The sequence below is a fragment of the Homo sapiens genome, chromosome 2 (assembly GCF_000001405.40).
Source record: "Homo sapiens chromosome 2, GRCh38.p14 Primary Assembly".
Lineage (NCBI taxonomy): Eukaryota > Metazoa > Chordata > Mammalia > Primates > Hominidae > Homo > Homo sapiens.
In genome coordinates, this window is record NC_000002.12 from 201,719,172 (window position 1) to 201,734,301 (window position 15,130).

General features: G+C 38.0%; 1 protein-coding gene across 9 annotated transcripts in view; it reads right to left on the reverse strand.

The window, feature by feature from the left end:
- ALS2 (alsin Rho guanine nucleotide exchange factor ALS2) overlaps positions 1-15,130 on the reverse strand; it is an 80,667-nt gene that overhangs the window by 18,905 nt on the left and 46,632 nt on the right. For 8 of the 9 annotated variants that reach the window (NM_001410975.1, NM_020919.4, XM_006712654.4 and 5 more), the window contains 11 exons: positions 14,105-14,267; positions 9,881-10,012; positions 9,341-9,469; positions 8,534-8,604; positions 8,041-8,107; positions 7,493-7,695; positions 7,313-7,378; positions 6,185-6,283; positions 5,124-5,288; positions 4,159-4,270; positions 3,872-3,949 (listed from right to left, as the gene is read on the reverse strand). In NM_001410975.1, the coding sequence (NP_001397904.1) occupies positions 3,872-3,949; positions 4,159-4,270; positions 5,124-5,288; positions 6,185-6,283; positions 7,313-7,378; positions 7,493-7,695; positions 8,041-8,107; positions 8,534-8,604; positions 9,341-9,469; positions 9,881-10,012; positions 14,105-14,267 (1,285 nt within the window). Of the gene's footprint in view, positions 1-814; positions 958-3,871; positions 3,950-4,158; positions 4,271-5,123; positions 5,289-6,184; positions 6,284-7,312; positions 7,379-7,492; positions 7,696-8,040; positions 8,108-8,533; positions 8,605-9,340; positions 9,470-9,880; positions 10,013-14,104; positions 14,268-15,130 lie in introns of those variants that run through there. The other variant, XM_047445241.1, reaches the window with a different exon arrangement.

Sequence of the window (15,130 nt, forward strand, 5' to 3'; positions counted from 1 at the left end):
TTGGAAAGTGTGTCTCCTCTAAAATCTGTGCTGAAACTTAAACCCCACTGTGATGGTAGTAAGAGGTGGGGTCTTTTGGGAAGTGATTAGGGACAGTGTCCTCATGAATGGTGCAGTGCCTTAGAAAAGGGCCAGAGGGTTGGGCGCTGTGGCTCACGCCTGTAGTACCAGCCCTTTGGGAGGCCAAGGTGGGCAGATCATGAGGTCAGGAGTTCGAGACCAGCCTGACCAACATGGTGAAGCCCCGTCTCTACTAAAAATACAAAAATTAGCTGGGCACGGTGGCACGTGCCTGTAATCCCATCTACTCAGGAGGCTGAGGCAGGAGAATCGCTTGAACCCAGGAGGTGGAGGTTGCAGTGAGCTGACATCATGCCACTGCACTCCAGGCTGGGTGACAGACAAGACTCCGTCTCGAAAAAAATAAAAATAAAAATAAAAATAAAAATAAAAGTGCCAGAGGGAACTATCTTAGGCCTTTTTGCCCTTCCATCTTTTGCTATGTGAGGCCTCAGCCAAGAAGGCCTTCACCAAACAGGGAATGCTGTAGCCTTGATCTTCGACTTCCCAGCTTGCAAAATTGTGAAGAAATAAATTTCTCAGTCTATGACATTTTGTTAAAGCATCACAAACATACGAAGACAGAATGGAATACTAAGAGAACAGCTTTATGCCAACAAAGTAGATAACATAGAGAAATAGAAAAACTCCTAGGAAGACAAAAAGTACCAAAACTGACTCAATAAGAAATAGAAAATCTAAATAGACCTAAGGCAAGTAAAGAAACTGAGTTAGAAATTAAAAATTTTCTCACAAAGTAATGCTTAGGCCCAGAAGACTTCATTGGTGAATTCTCCCAAACATTCAAAGAAGAAATAATACCAAAGCTTCGCAAACTTTCAGAAAATAGGGGAGGAGGGAACACTTCCCAACTTGTTCTATGAGGCCAGAATTATCCTGATATCAAAGACAGACAAAGACATCACAATAAAAGAAAACTACAGACCATTACCTCTCATAAATATGAATGCAAAAATCCTCAACAAAATATTCGCATTAAATCCAGCAACACCAACATATAAAAAAAATTATACACCATGACCAAGTACAATTCATCCCAGGAAAGCAAGGTTGGTTTAACATCAGACAAGCAACCAATATAATACACCATATTAGTAGAATAAATGATAAAAACCACATGATCATCTCAACAGATAATGGAAAAGCACTTTAACAAAAAATGCTTTTCAGCCAAGCATGGTGGCTCATGCCTGTAATCCTAGCACTTTGGGAGGCCGAGGTGGGTGGATTGCTTGAGCTCAGGAGTTTGAGACCAGCTTGGGCAACATAGCGAAACTCTGTCTCTACAAAAAAAAAAAAAAAAAAAAAAAAATTAGCCAGGCATGGTGGCATGTGCCTATAGTCCCAGTTACTTGGGGGGCTGAGGAGGGAGGATCGCTTGAGCCCAGGAGGTTGAGGCTGCAGGGAGCTGAGAACACGCCACTGCACTCCAGCCTGGGTGACAGAGTGAGACACTATCTCAACACACACACACACACACACACAAACACACACACACAAAGCTTTTCTCTAAAATAGAAAACAATGTAAAGATGTCCAATCTTAACATTTTTCTATTCAACATTCCACAGGAGACTCTAGCCAGTGCAACTGGACAAGAAAAAGAAATAAAAGCCTTCCATATTGTAAAGAAAGAAGCAAAAATGTCTTTACTTGTAGGTGATATGATTCTGTATGTAAGAAATCCTAAGAAATCCACACACAAAAAAAACCACTAAAACTAATAAACGAATTCAGCAAGATTTCAGGAAACAAGAACAAAATACAAAATCAACTGCATTTTTATATTATAGCAATGAAATTAAGAAAACAACGCTTTACAATAGCATCAATAAAATACTTAGAAATAAATTTAACCAAAGAAATGCAAGATGTGTACACTGAAACCTGGAAAATATTGCCAAGAGAAATTAAAGATGTAAATAAACTGTGAGGTGTTCTATGTTCATGGGTTGAAGAGTCAATATTAAGATGGCAATTCTCCCCAAATTAATCTATAGATTCAATGCAATCTCTATCAAAATCTTAGCAAGGTTTATTGCAGAATCTTGATAAGCCAGTCCTAAAATTTATATGAAAAGTCAAAGAATCTAGATTGGCCAGAACAATTTTGAAAAAGAACAAATTTGGAGGACTTATATTCCTGATTTCACAACTTACTAGGAATCAACAGTAATCTAGATGGTGTGGTATTAACACAAGGAGAGACATGTTTATCAGTGAAATGTAACTGAGAGACCAGAAATAAACACATTTTCTGGTCAACAAAGGTGCCAAGATTCAATGGGAAAAGGTGTTGGGAAATTTGGATAGCCATATGCAAAAAGATTAGTTTGGACACATAACTCAGCCCATATACAAAAGTTATCTTAAAATGAATCACAGACCTAAATATAAAAGGCAAAACTATAAAACTTTCATTTTTTTTTTAGACGGAGTCTCGCTCTGTCACCCAGGCTGGAGCACAGTGCCACGATTTCGGCTCACTGCAAACTCCGCCTCCCAGGTTCACGCCATTCTCCTGCCTCAGCCTCCTGAGTAGCTGGGACTACAGGTGCCCGCCACCACGCCTGGCTAATTTTTTGTATTTTTAGTAGAGATGGGGTTTCACCATGTTTGCCAGGATGATCTTGATCTCCTGACCTCGTGATCTACCTGCCTTGGCCTCCCAAAGTGCTGGAATTACAGGTTTGAGCCAACAGGCAAAGACTTCTTAGACATAACATCAAAAGCATAATTCATAAAATTTTTTATAGAGTTTATTAAAATGAAAAACTTTTCTATTTCAAAAGACACTATTAAGAAAATAAAAGACAAGTCAGACTGCAAGAAAATATTTACAAATCATATCTGATAAAGGACATGTATCCAGAATACAGAAAGAACCCATACAATTCAACAAGAGTACAAACAAAATTTTAGAAATAGGCCAAGATCTGAATAGACATTTCATCAAAGAAGATATATGAATCACTAATAAGCATGTTCTACATCATTAGTCACTAGGGAATGCAAATTAAAACCAGGAGATACCACTTCATACCCATTGGAATGGCTATAAGAAAAAAGACAGAAAATAAGAAATATTTTTTGATATGGAGAAATTAGTATCCTCAGACATTGCTGATGGGAATGTAAAATGGTACAGACACTTTGGAAAAAAGTTCGACAGTTTCTTAATATGTTAAACATCAATTTACCATACAACTTAGCAATTACACTCCAGGCATCTACTTGAGAAATGAAAATGAAAACATATGTCTACACAAGAAACTGCATTCAAAAGTTTATAGCAGCATTATTTACAATAGTCTAAAGTTGGAAATAACCCAATGTCCATCAACTGGTAAAAGGATAAACAAAATGTAGTTTTGGAACACTATTCAGCCATAAAAAGGAACAAATACTATACATGCCACAATATGGAAAAAACAAAAACATTATACTAAGTGTAAGAAGCCACATAGAGGAGATTGCATGTATGATTCCATTTATACAAAAGGCCCAAAAAAGGCAAATCTATAGAGTGATTAAGGGTGATTAGTGGTTGGCTGGGACTTTAGGTGGAAATGGAAGTCACTGAATGAGCAGAAGGGATTTTCTTGGGCGATGGAAATGTTCTGAAACTGGATTGTGGTGGTGGTTTGTACAGCCATGTTGACCAAAAATCACTGAAACGTGCACTTGAAAGGGGTGAATTTTATGGCATGTAAATCAGCTATTTTTAAAGTAAAAAAAAATTAGTAAAAGAATTTATTAGGGAGAAAAAAAAAGAAAGCTAGTTTCCAACCTTTCCACTAAGAGTCCAGTCATCTGAAAATTCTCCTTCATAGATAGTATCATCTTCGGAAAGCAAAACCCCATTTCCCTACAAGAAGAAACAAGAGAAAAATTACAACACATAAAATACAGAGTAACTTAAGAGTGCACGCAGTCATATCCCCAAAGCCTTATGGAATCTTAAAAGAAGGAAAATAGTACTAAGAAGGTGGAAACTAATCAAAAGATGATTTAAAAAGTTAAGGACAAAGGAGCTTTAAAAAGTTAGTAATAACTACATGCAAATATTCCACTCACCATCATTTTATTAAGGTGAAAGTTGCCCTCGTAGTATAATCCAAACTGGGTAACCACCACACCATTCCCTTGACACACATCATCTTGCCACATTCCCATATACTTTTCCCCCCTGCACAGAAATAAAAAGAAAAGAAAAAGCACTGAAGATAAGGATAAAGTAGGGAAAAGACAATTATCACATGGGAGATCCCAGGCATCAACCCTAGGTTGGTATTGCTTCCATTTTTCTAGTTAAAATAGTTAACTTTGTCTCCTCAAATATGGGACAAAGTGATAGCAAAAGACATCTCACTCAGTAATCCTCTCTGAGGAATTTAATGTTGTGGTCTGACACAGATCTGTATATATCCCAGGTAGTTACTTGGTAACTTTAAAATACATAATTTTTAAAAAGAAGGTCTAGAATTCAACTCTAAATAATTTCATTTAAAATGTAATAAGCAGAATAAAACCTATGCACAGGTTTTTCTTACACAAAAGTTTGCTAACTTAAAAAGAAAGAGGCTGGATTCGGTGGCTCATGCCTATAATCCCAGCACTTTGGGAGGCAAAGGCAGGTGGATCACTTGAGGCCAGGAGTTCGAGACCAGCCTGGACAATATGGCAAAACCCCATCTCTACCAAAAATACAAAAAATTAACTGGGCGTGGTGGTGTGTGCCTGTGGTCCCAGCTACTTGGTAGACTGAGGTAGGAGGATCCCTTGAACCCAGGAGGCAGAGATTGCAGTGAGCTGAGATCGCACCACTCCAGCCTGGGTGACAGAGTGAAACCCTGTCTCAAAAAATAAAAAAGTAAATAAAAGGGTTTGTCATAAAAGAAGGTTCATTTTTCACCTACTCAAACTCAAAGAAATCTTACTAATCTCCATGAAAAAGACAAAATAAGTATAAACTGCTTGTTAAATAATGATGGTGCTTAATCATTGGCTTAAACTGTGGGAATAGAAGGAGAATACTGTACCTAGTGATATCATCAAAGACACCATATCCTGCTTTCTTATCCATTACCCACTGGCCAATGAACATACTAGGAGAAGAGGACGTCAATTTCCCACTTCGTAGAAGACCATGACCATGACGCATATTATCTTGAAAACAGCCCTCAAATACTTCACCAGAAGCATAGCTGTGGTTGGAAAGAATGGATAATTATCACATGCACATTGAATTCTGATGCTCATTTTTACAAAGTTTAGAAAATCCAAAACCATACTCAGTCTCACTGGTAGCTATAATTATTTGTTTATATGATTATTTTTCACCAATTAAAAAAACCTCATTTTCGAATGATTAAAGTTAAAAAGTTAAAGACACCATGTGTGGTATTTTGCATTAACATGAAAAACAATGTGTTTTTATTCTCTTATGGGAAAATGAAATAATGAGTTATTTTTAAGAGGGAAGAATAAAAGTTTTGTCCATTAGAATCCTATATGTCTTATTATAGATAAGACCATTTTTTCATAAAATTATGGTTTATAAGGTATATAAAATTTAGGGCTGGGTGCGGTGGCTCATGCCTGTAATCCCAGCACTTTGGGAGGCCGAGGCGGGTGGATCACGAGGTCAGGAGATCGAGACCATCCTGGCTAACGCGGTGAAACCCTGTCTCTACTAAAAATACAAAAAATTAGCCGGGTGTGGTGGCGGGCGCCTGGAGTCCCACCTACTCGGGAGGCTGAAGCAGGAGAATGGCATGAACCTGGGAGGCAGAGCTTGCAGTGAGCCAAGATTGCGCCACTGCACTCCAGCCTGGGTGACAGAGCGAGACTTCATCTCAAAAAAAAAAAAAAAAATTTAGATAAGAACTAAATTTAATAATCCAGTATTTTAATCCTGCGATAGATGAGGGGTTAACCTTTAAAAGATGATCACACAGAGTTTCAATTTTATTTACTCCTCTAAATTTTATCTATAAGACTAAACAAAACTTAAAACTTGGAAATTTTGGCTATGCAAACATTCAGGTTTACATGGTTATATGAAAAACAAACACCAGTCCAACAGCCTTTCCAATGTTACCTGTAGACTCCTTGACCGCACATTTTTCCTTCTTTCCAATGGCCCACATAATGGTCTTCTTTGTTCATTGCCTTGTTTGGGATTCTGTATTCTCCATACCTGCCATGAAAAAGAAAAAATAACAAAAGAAGATGCATTTATGACATATTCACCTTTTGTATGTATATCCTGGTAAACATTTTAACAAGGAAGACAGAGAAAACATTCACCTGTAGGAGTAAAGGGTTAAAACAGCATCTTGGTTTAAGGTGAATCTATAACCTAAGCTGTTTGGCAAGAGGAGTGGGACATCAGCCCCACTACACTAAGATATGGTGTTTTAATCCAACTCCAGTGAAAAACAGAAGACCTGTGTCCTTCACCTATCTCTGTCACTAATTACCTGCACCACCATGCGGTAAGCCCAGGTATCTAGCTCCTTTATTTGGATAATAAGAGGGGCAACTCAGTGGGTAAATTAGATGATCTAAAGTCTCTTCTCATTCTAACAATCTATTAAAAAGAGATTTTAACACATCACAAGAATTTACATGATCACACAGACACACAAAATCACCTACCCAACATTTTTTATATACTAAATTACTTCCTTAACATTATACAAAATACTGCCATAAACTAATCATGTAAATACATTTACAGTGTTAGAAAACATGATAAACTTATTTTTAAAAAGTCATTAGAGCATCATTGAGATAATATAGCACTTGGAAAATTTCTCCTTTAACAGATCACAGAAATTAAAGATGACTTAAAACGACTGAAAGGAAAATTTTTCTATGTCCTTTGTGTAAAGGAGGACTACCATCTCAATAGTCCCACCATTAACATTACCAAAGATCTCAGTCTTCACAACTGAGAAATGAATAGAAAACATAGCCCCATTTTAACAGATGGAAGGCTGTGTAATTTGAGGTCACACGGCTATCAGGGAAAATGACCCAGTCTAGGTAAATCAGAGGCTGTACCCCTCACTCCTGGCTCTCTTCATGCTCATACATGTGCATTTCTAAAAAATAACAACAAAAATCTACTACTTGTTTGAAAAGCAGCTCTGCATACAAAATAACATAATTTACGACCTTACCGAACTTGAATTTACTGTCATGTTTTACACAATTTTCTTACCCATCTTCCAAGCCATTCCTGAACATGCCAGAATACATCTTTCCATCAGGCCACTTCAAAACCCCTCTGGAATGCATAAGCAAAGAATAATGCATGTCAACTAATATTTCAGATAATTAATACTTTTTCTATCATGTGATGATCATCCTCACCCCAGGCATAAATCTTCAACATTTTCACCTGCCATGAGGCTTCCCTGAAAGCCAGCGTCCATCATAGGTGGCATCCTTTAGGCGAGGATCCTTGTAGAAAGTATATTTGGCACTGCGTGAAATGGGTGGTTCCTGTCTCTGAACACTGCTACCACTTCCATAAGGGGGGAGATCAGACATCCCTCTCAAAGCCTGATCTACGGCTTGGCTTATAGCTCGTAGCCACTTTGTCTAGGAGCAAAAAGTAACGTCAATAAGTTTAAGGCAACAATTCATCAAGCATTGCTTTAAATCCTGCTAGTTTTCTTTGGTGTGAATAAATTATTTGTGTCCTAATGCTTTTCTTATTAATAGAGTAATATTGACTGGCTCTTGTATTTCTCTGCTATATGTTTAAAATTAAGTCACATTAAAAAAAAAAACAATGAAGAACCTACAGTTTTGGGTTAATGAAGATTTATCAGACAGAACTGTGCATCATTAGTCAAGCAAGAACAATTTATATTTCTTCTTTATTACACAAGAGGCAGAAAGAGCCAGGGCGAAGATTGAAGGAAAATACCATAATAGACTAACCTTTTCCTGGGGTGTAGATGAAATGAGAGTGAACTGCTCCTCAGGTGTAGTTATCTTTAAGCCATTCCTAAAACGTTCACAAGGATAAATACCAGGACATTTAACAACCTGTCATTACAGTATCGATCCTCAAATATGAAAAGCAACCTCTTTATTTCAAGAGGAACAGAAATCAATTAATGTAAATGCTTGCTTGGTTTTGGGCGCCACCACGGTGGAAAGAACAAAGAATTCTCTGCTCTGTGCTGAACGATGGGGATGTGTGCAATGAAGATGCCCTTTCATCACCTAATCGTGACTTGCCATGATCTTCACAACAGGCCATTTTATTATCAATAGACTACTTTACTGTCTAATGTGCTGAGAGGTGGGCCTCATTATACAGAATGAGGAGACTGTCTCCGAAGCCTTCCTGAGCTTTTTTTCACATTTAAGGAAGCAACCTGGGTAACAGACTTGGACGGGGTGGGGTGGGGAGGGGGGACGCACTTACACACCACCAGCTTCTTCAGACAGTGGCTCTGCCCACAGCGTGGCCAGAGGGAAAACATGGTGCGTGGAGAACTGAAACAGAGAACACGGAGGCACTTTTATGAAAGCCCATGTAGACCTCGGGGACTCTGCCCATATCCCCTTCATGTCATTAACCCACATGGGCCTTGCAGTCTCTGCTGCAGAACCCCTTGAAATAGTTAAGCCCATGTAGGTGCCACCAATTCTGCCACATTGTCCCCATAACACAGCTAACCCAAAGGGCCTTGCCATCTCTGCTGCAGGGCCCTCTTCACATGGCTGACACTCATTCTCAAGCTGGAAACTTAAGAAGTTCTCTGAAATCCAACGCATACAGAAATCCATGCTGTAGCTAAAATAGCCTCTTTTTTAAAAAAAATTATTATTATACTTTAAGTTCTAGGGTACATCTGCACAATGTGCAGGTTTGTTACATATGTATACACGTGCCATGTTGGTATGCTGCACCCATTAACTCGTCACTTACATTAGGTGTATCTCCTAATGCTATCCCTCCCTCCTCCCCCGACCCCACGACAGGCCCCGGTGTGTGATGTTTCCCTTCTTGTGTCCAAGTGTTCTCATTGTTCAGTTCCCACCTATGAGTGAGAACATGCAGTGTTTGGTTTTTTGTCCTTGCTATAGTTTGCTGAGAATGATGGCTAGCCTCTTTTAGTCAACAGTTTCAGTAAAATCACACTAGTTTTGAACATAAACTGATAGTACAGTTAATAAGGATAGGGGTCCACCTTTCAGGAATTCTTTTAAGGTTAGGAATCCAGCCTACCTGGGCATGGACCAGGGCATCATTAAAGAGAATGAACCAATTCACGGAAAACCTCCCAGCATGCTGCAGAGACAGGGCTCGGTTACTACTCTCACACAGCAGTCGACGCTCTGGCTTCCTCAAGGAATCCTGGAATTAAAGACAAATATAATACAAGTCAAACAATCAAAATTATTTTAACATGTAAAGAGAAAATAAAACAGACACAAATCACATTTAAGGGAATTTGCTGGTCGTAGCTTAGCTTGGTGTAAAATCTAAATTTATATGGGATCTAAACACTTCACAAAATTAGAGCTCAAAGGAGATTAAAAAGAAGACAAAAACAAACTAAAGAAGGTGAGTAAGTCTTCAGAGAGGATTTCTAGAAATGAGAGAAGGTATTTAGAGTACCCATTAGTATGGTCCTTAGACATTTTAGGAAAGGGGTCATTAAAAGGTTATTACCACAAACAAGTGAGGAACAGAGAAAATTGTATCAATTGTTATCGAAATGGTTGCTGTTTGCTAGGGTAACAAATGACAACTGGCATGGCTTACCGTCATTTTTCCGGGGAAGGTCTTCCAGAAGCCCAGTGTGTATTCTGCTTCCTTCCTTTTCCTGCCGAGATGGAGAGCAAGACACTCATAACAAGAACTGGAATCCTGCAGTTTCTGATATTCTGGAGATGCCTACAGGGCAAAAATTAAAGAGGAAAAAAAAAAAAAGAACATAAAACCATTATGCAGAATCTGTAGCCTCAGTCTGCCTTAGACATATAGTATTAAATGTAGGAGAAAATTCAGCCCACGAGCATAAGTAGCACACTGCAGGAGACTGGGAAAAGGAGATTGGTTTCAGAAAAATTCTACTACATAAAAGTACATATGAAATAGGGGCATAACTCAGGTGACAGAGACAAAACCTGGCAGTTAGTGAATAGAGCAGCAGAGACCCCAGGATAGAGCAGGAGTTCTCAAATATTTTGGTCTCGGGATCCCTTTATTTTTCTTATGTGGACTGTATCTATTGATATTTACCATATTAGAACATAAAATTAAGAAATGTTAGAAGCTTTTATTAATTCACTTACAAAAATTTTTTAATGGTAGGGCGCGGTGGCTCACACCTGTAATCCCAGCACTTTGGGAGGCCGAGGCAGGCGGATCACGAGGTCAGGAGATCAAGACCATCCTGGCTAACACGGTAAAACCCCGTATTCACTAAAAAAATACAAAAATTAGCCGGGTGTGGTGGCGGGCGCCTGTAGACCCAGCTACTCGGGAGGATGAGGCAGGAGAATGGCGTGAACCCGGGAGGCGGAGCTTGCAGTGAGCCGAGATGCGCCACTGCACTCCAGTCTGGGCAACAGAGCGAGACTCCGTCTCAAAAAAAAAAAAAAAAAAAAAAAACAACTTTTTTTGTGAGAAAAGTGGCAATGGTCCACATTTTTTCAAATCTCTTTATTATCTGGCTTTAAAAATGACAGCTGGACTTTTATATCAGCTTTTGCATTTAATCTGTTATATGTTGTTTGGTTAAAACCTATGAAGAAAATGTGGCCTTATAAAGGTATATATCTGGAATAGAGGGAAGCATTTTAATAGCCATTTCAAATAAATGTGGATATTCTCCTTTGATACTATATTAAAACTTGCTATGTGGTAGATTCTTAAAGGGAGCTGCAATGTAGAATCTGAAACCACAGCAATGAGCTTTTTGTACCCTGTGATGTTAAAATCCAGGGGTCTATCATGCACTTTGAATGGGTCTTTTACCATCTATGGCTTTGTACCATCTATGATTGTGGATTGGACATATGGAAAATATCGGTTGACTGAATTATGCAGATTTTCCAAATGTTGATACCTTTTTTTCTATAACATCAAAAATCACAGGATAATAGAACTACCAATCTCATGAGATAAAGTCCTAAGTATCAGGAAACTGTCAGACTCACAGTGGCAGATCCATCTCTAACATTCTAATTTTCGCTTAAAAGTTGAGATTTTATTATTGGCAACAAATACTATCAGTTGTTCTCTTTGAAATGACAGGTTCATTTACTCATTTCTGAGAAAATATCTGCCAATATCCAAATCTGAAAAATCAGTTTATCTGTCAATTGTCCTTTCAAGTTTAAAAAAAAAAAAAGCAACCCATTTATTTCAAGAGGAGCTCTCAACTCAACTATCACAGTCATGCTTTTTCTTGAAAAACTGCCACACTTCAGCATGCAGCAGAGCTGCTTTACATGTACTTTGCATGTCACCACACATAACAGGACATTCTTAAGCGAAATTGTATTTTAACTGCAACTGCATGGCAGTGAAGAACGCAGTGACTACTAGTATAGTCTGGTGCCACTGCCTTGATTCCTACCAAGGAGCCAGCAGTTTTACCCACCTTAACTTTTGCACCATCAGTGTAAATGACAATACAGTGGAAAAGGCAAATATCTTAGTATTGTCATGAAAATAGTTTTGACCTTGTGAACCCCTTGAAATAGTCTTTGGAAGCCCCAGGGGTCTGCAAACCAAGTTTTGAGAAACAACTACTGGGATGGGTGTAACCGCTACACCATGTAGCGAGGGAGCAGAAGGTAAGATCAAAGGATGATCTCTCACGTTTATGAGTAATTACTTTACTTGCTACAATTCTGAGAGTCACTCATTTTCATTTTTTCCATTCATTTAAGAAACATTTAATGAGTATCTACCACATATAAAACATTCTGCTAGAGTGCTAGGGAAAAAAAAATAAGGTATGATCTTTGTACCATAATTAGACAAGATAAAAAATGTACCAGAATAATGCAGTGGTTTTGTTAATAGGTTATATATCATAAAAGACAATCTAGGAAAGTAGGTTAAGAGGACAGATTCTGGAACCAGAGCCTGGATATTAATTCTAGCTCTGCCAATTCTCAGCTGTGTCTCAATTCTCTTATCTGTAAAAGGCTGATGATGAAATCGGTAATAATAATAATACCTACTTCACCGAGTTGATGTGGGGATTAAAGTTATATGTATATATGAATACATATAACTTGCTTAGAACAGTGCCTGGCATATAGAATTCATTCAATAAAAGTATCATCATTATTTTTATATGGAGACATTTAAAAAAATACATATATGTGTACACACATATATGACGTCAAGGCTGTGCCTTAGACTTACTAAATTATAACGTATAGTGATGGAATACAGGCAGGTTTTGTTTTGAAAAAGCTTCCACAGTTGATTTTGAACCCCTGTGATAAGGATAAGGGCCATTGATATAACATGAGAAGTGAATAATAGAGAAAGAAAGTGTTAGCAAAACACAGAGTAAATAATCCTTCAGAGATGGATAGGTGAAAGAGAACCAATATAGTCAAAGAGGGCTTTATTTTCATGATAAAATGACTTTTGTCCCAGAATGAGGATGGGAGTGGGAGTGTTTCAGGAAGGAAATATAAAGCATATGAAAGCTACATCCAGGGAAACTGAACTCTGACTCTCAACAATTCTAAGCTGATCTGGTGGAAAATTTTTTTATTAATTGAGGCCATATTGAGGTGAAAGCTGTATCTCATTGGGATATTTGAGAGGTCAAACCTTCACAGCTAAAGCTAGATCAGTTTAAAGACCTTGTAGGTCTTTTCTTTAGTCTGGTTTCACAGCAGGCTCAAATGTAGAAAGCCTACATCAATCAGTTCCTGGGTCACTCTGAGGGGTGAAATCTGTTTAGATCAAGAGACAGACCCAAAGATTAAGAGGATTCTAAACCTACAAGGGGCCAGCGTGGTGGCTCATGCCTGTAATCCTAGCACTTTCGGAGGCCAAGGCAGGCCAATCACTTGAGGTCAGGAGTTCGAGGCCAGCCTGGCCAACATGGTGATATCCCATCTCTACTAAAAATACAAAAAAAAAAAAAAAAAAAAGTAGCCGGTGTTGTGGTACACACCTGTAATCTCAGCTACTCAGGAGGCTGAGGCATGAGAATCACTTGAACCTGGGAGGTGGAGGTTGCAGTGAGCCAAGATTGCGCCACTGCACTCCAGCCCCAGTGACAGAACGAGACTCTGTCTCAAAAACAAACAAACAACAACAACAATAAAAAAAACCTATAAGGGACTTTGGAGTCATTATAATTTTTCTAGAGCCTTTCAGGGTAGAAACAAAATGAAATCACATATTTCGATGGGATTTGAAAGGTGAATGTCTCAGGACCAGTTTTAACATACATCTATATCCTAGTGTGGTGCTAACTTCCTAGGATTCCACCTAACTAGTTTTATGTAAGGGTGGACTAGTTAACATTTGAGAAAATCCTGTAACTGATTCCTCTCAGCATTTGCTAAGGTAACCTAAACACCTGGCATAAAGTCTAGCATGAATCCAGGCTGGGTAACACCCCTGCCTTACAGGTGTATGCCATTATACAGAAAGCCAGGGCTTTAAAGAGCTCTGTTTAACTCATAGTCAGCATGCATCCAATAAATTTTGACAACTACTGAATGAGTAGCATCTGATAGAGTCTCAACTTTAGACAGTTTCATAAAATGAATACAGTTTATTCATCTTGATAAGGCCCTAAAGGGAAACTGAATCCACAGAAAACTCAATTTATCTACAGTCATACTTTCCTCTGTCATTTCCCTGAAGAAAATTAAATTTAATTAGACACAGGTAAATATTAAATTACTGGAGTTCCAGATCTTGTGGTGGCATAATCCATACAAACAACTATGATCCTTGGCTTTCCAAATGTCCAAAGAGGTATACATGGGAGCTTACCACTTCAAAACAAGTAGCAAGCTTTAGCAAAACTTTTGCGTAATTATGAAGTCGTCTGATTGGCAAGAAAAACAAAGTATTCAGTATTTCCATCAACTGAGTGTTTTCGTCATTCACTTCTGACAAATCTTGCAACAGCTCTTGGTTTTTATTTAGGAAATCACTAGAGGCAGAGGAAAAAAAAATTTAGTTAATCATTTTGGAATTGGTAATATGTACATTAAATAAAAAATTTCACTAGAAAGTACCTCTTTCAGAATGCACATTTTTTAGGTGCTGTGAAAGTAGAAATACAATGAAATAAGCCAGATATAATTAAAAGAATTTCCCTATCTATAAGACAGGATTTTTAGTATGAAAAGTAGCAAATGGTAGCAATACAAACGGTTAATCACAGACTTGTGCCTATATTCTAGGAAATGAATCATGCATCCAACAATTTAAGATGAATAATCAGAGACCAGCTGACACCATTACCTGTTAATTTCAAAGCCAAAAGTCACAGCAATAAATGGCAAGACTAATTGTTCTAGGCAGCTGTGCTAAATAGAAACACTGGAAGAAAAAGCAAAGCTCCTTGCTCCAACAGAATTAGTGTGGATATTAAAACACTTCTAATTTCTTCTTTTTTCCTTCAATTATTGATCACCTAACAAGAGTTTATTATAGGAAAGTAATAAAAAGCTGCAAGAACTAGTATTACAGTTAACAAGAAACAATAAAGATGATTATATGTGAAGATTTCAATGCTGAGATCTTCAAAAGCATTTCAAACTGAAGCCAAAAATTAGCTAATATTCAGTTTTTAATAAATTCATTGTTAAAATTTTATTCCAAATTTTAATGCTGATCAATAACCCATTCAGGCTTAGCTCACCAAACCAAAATACTTAATGGTAAAGCAGTAAGAGTTGGTGAGCTGGGTGCAGTGGTTCACACCTGCAATCCCAGCACTTTGGGCTGCCAAGGTGGGTGGATAGCTTGAGCCCGGAAGTTTGAGACCAGCCTGAGCAACATAATGAAACC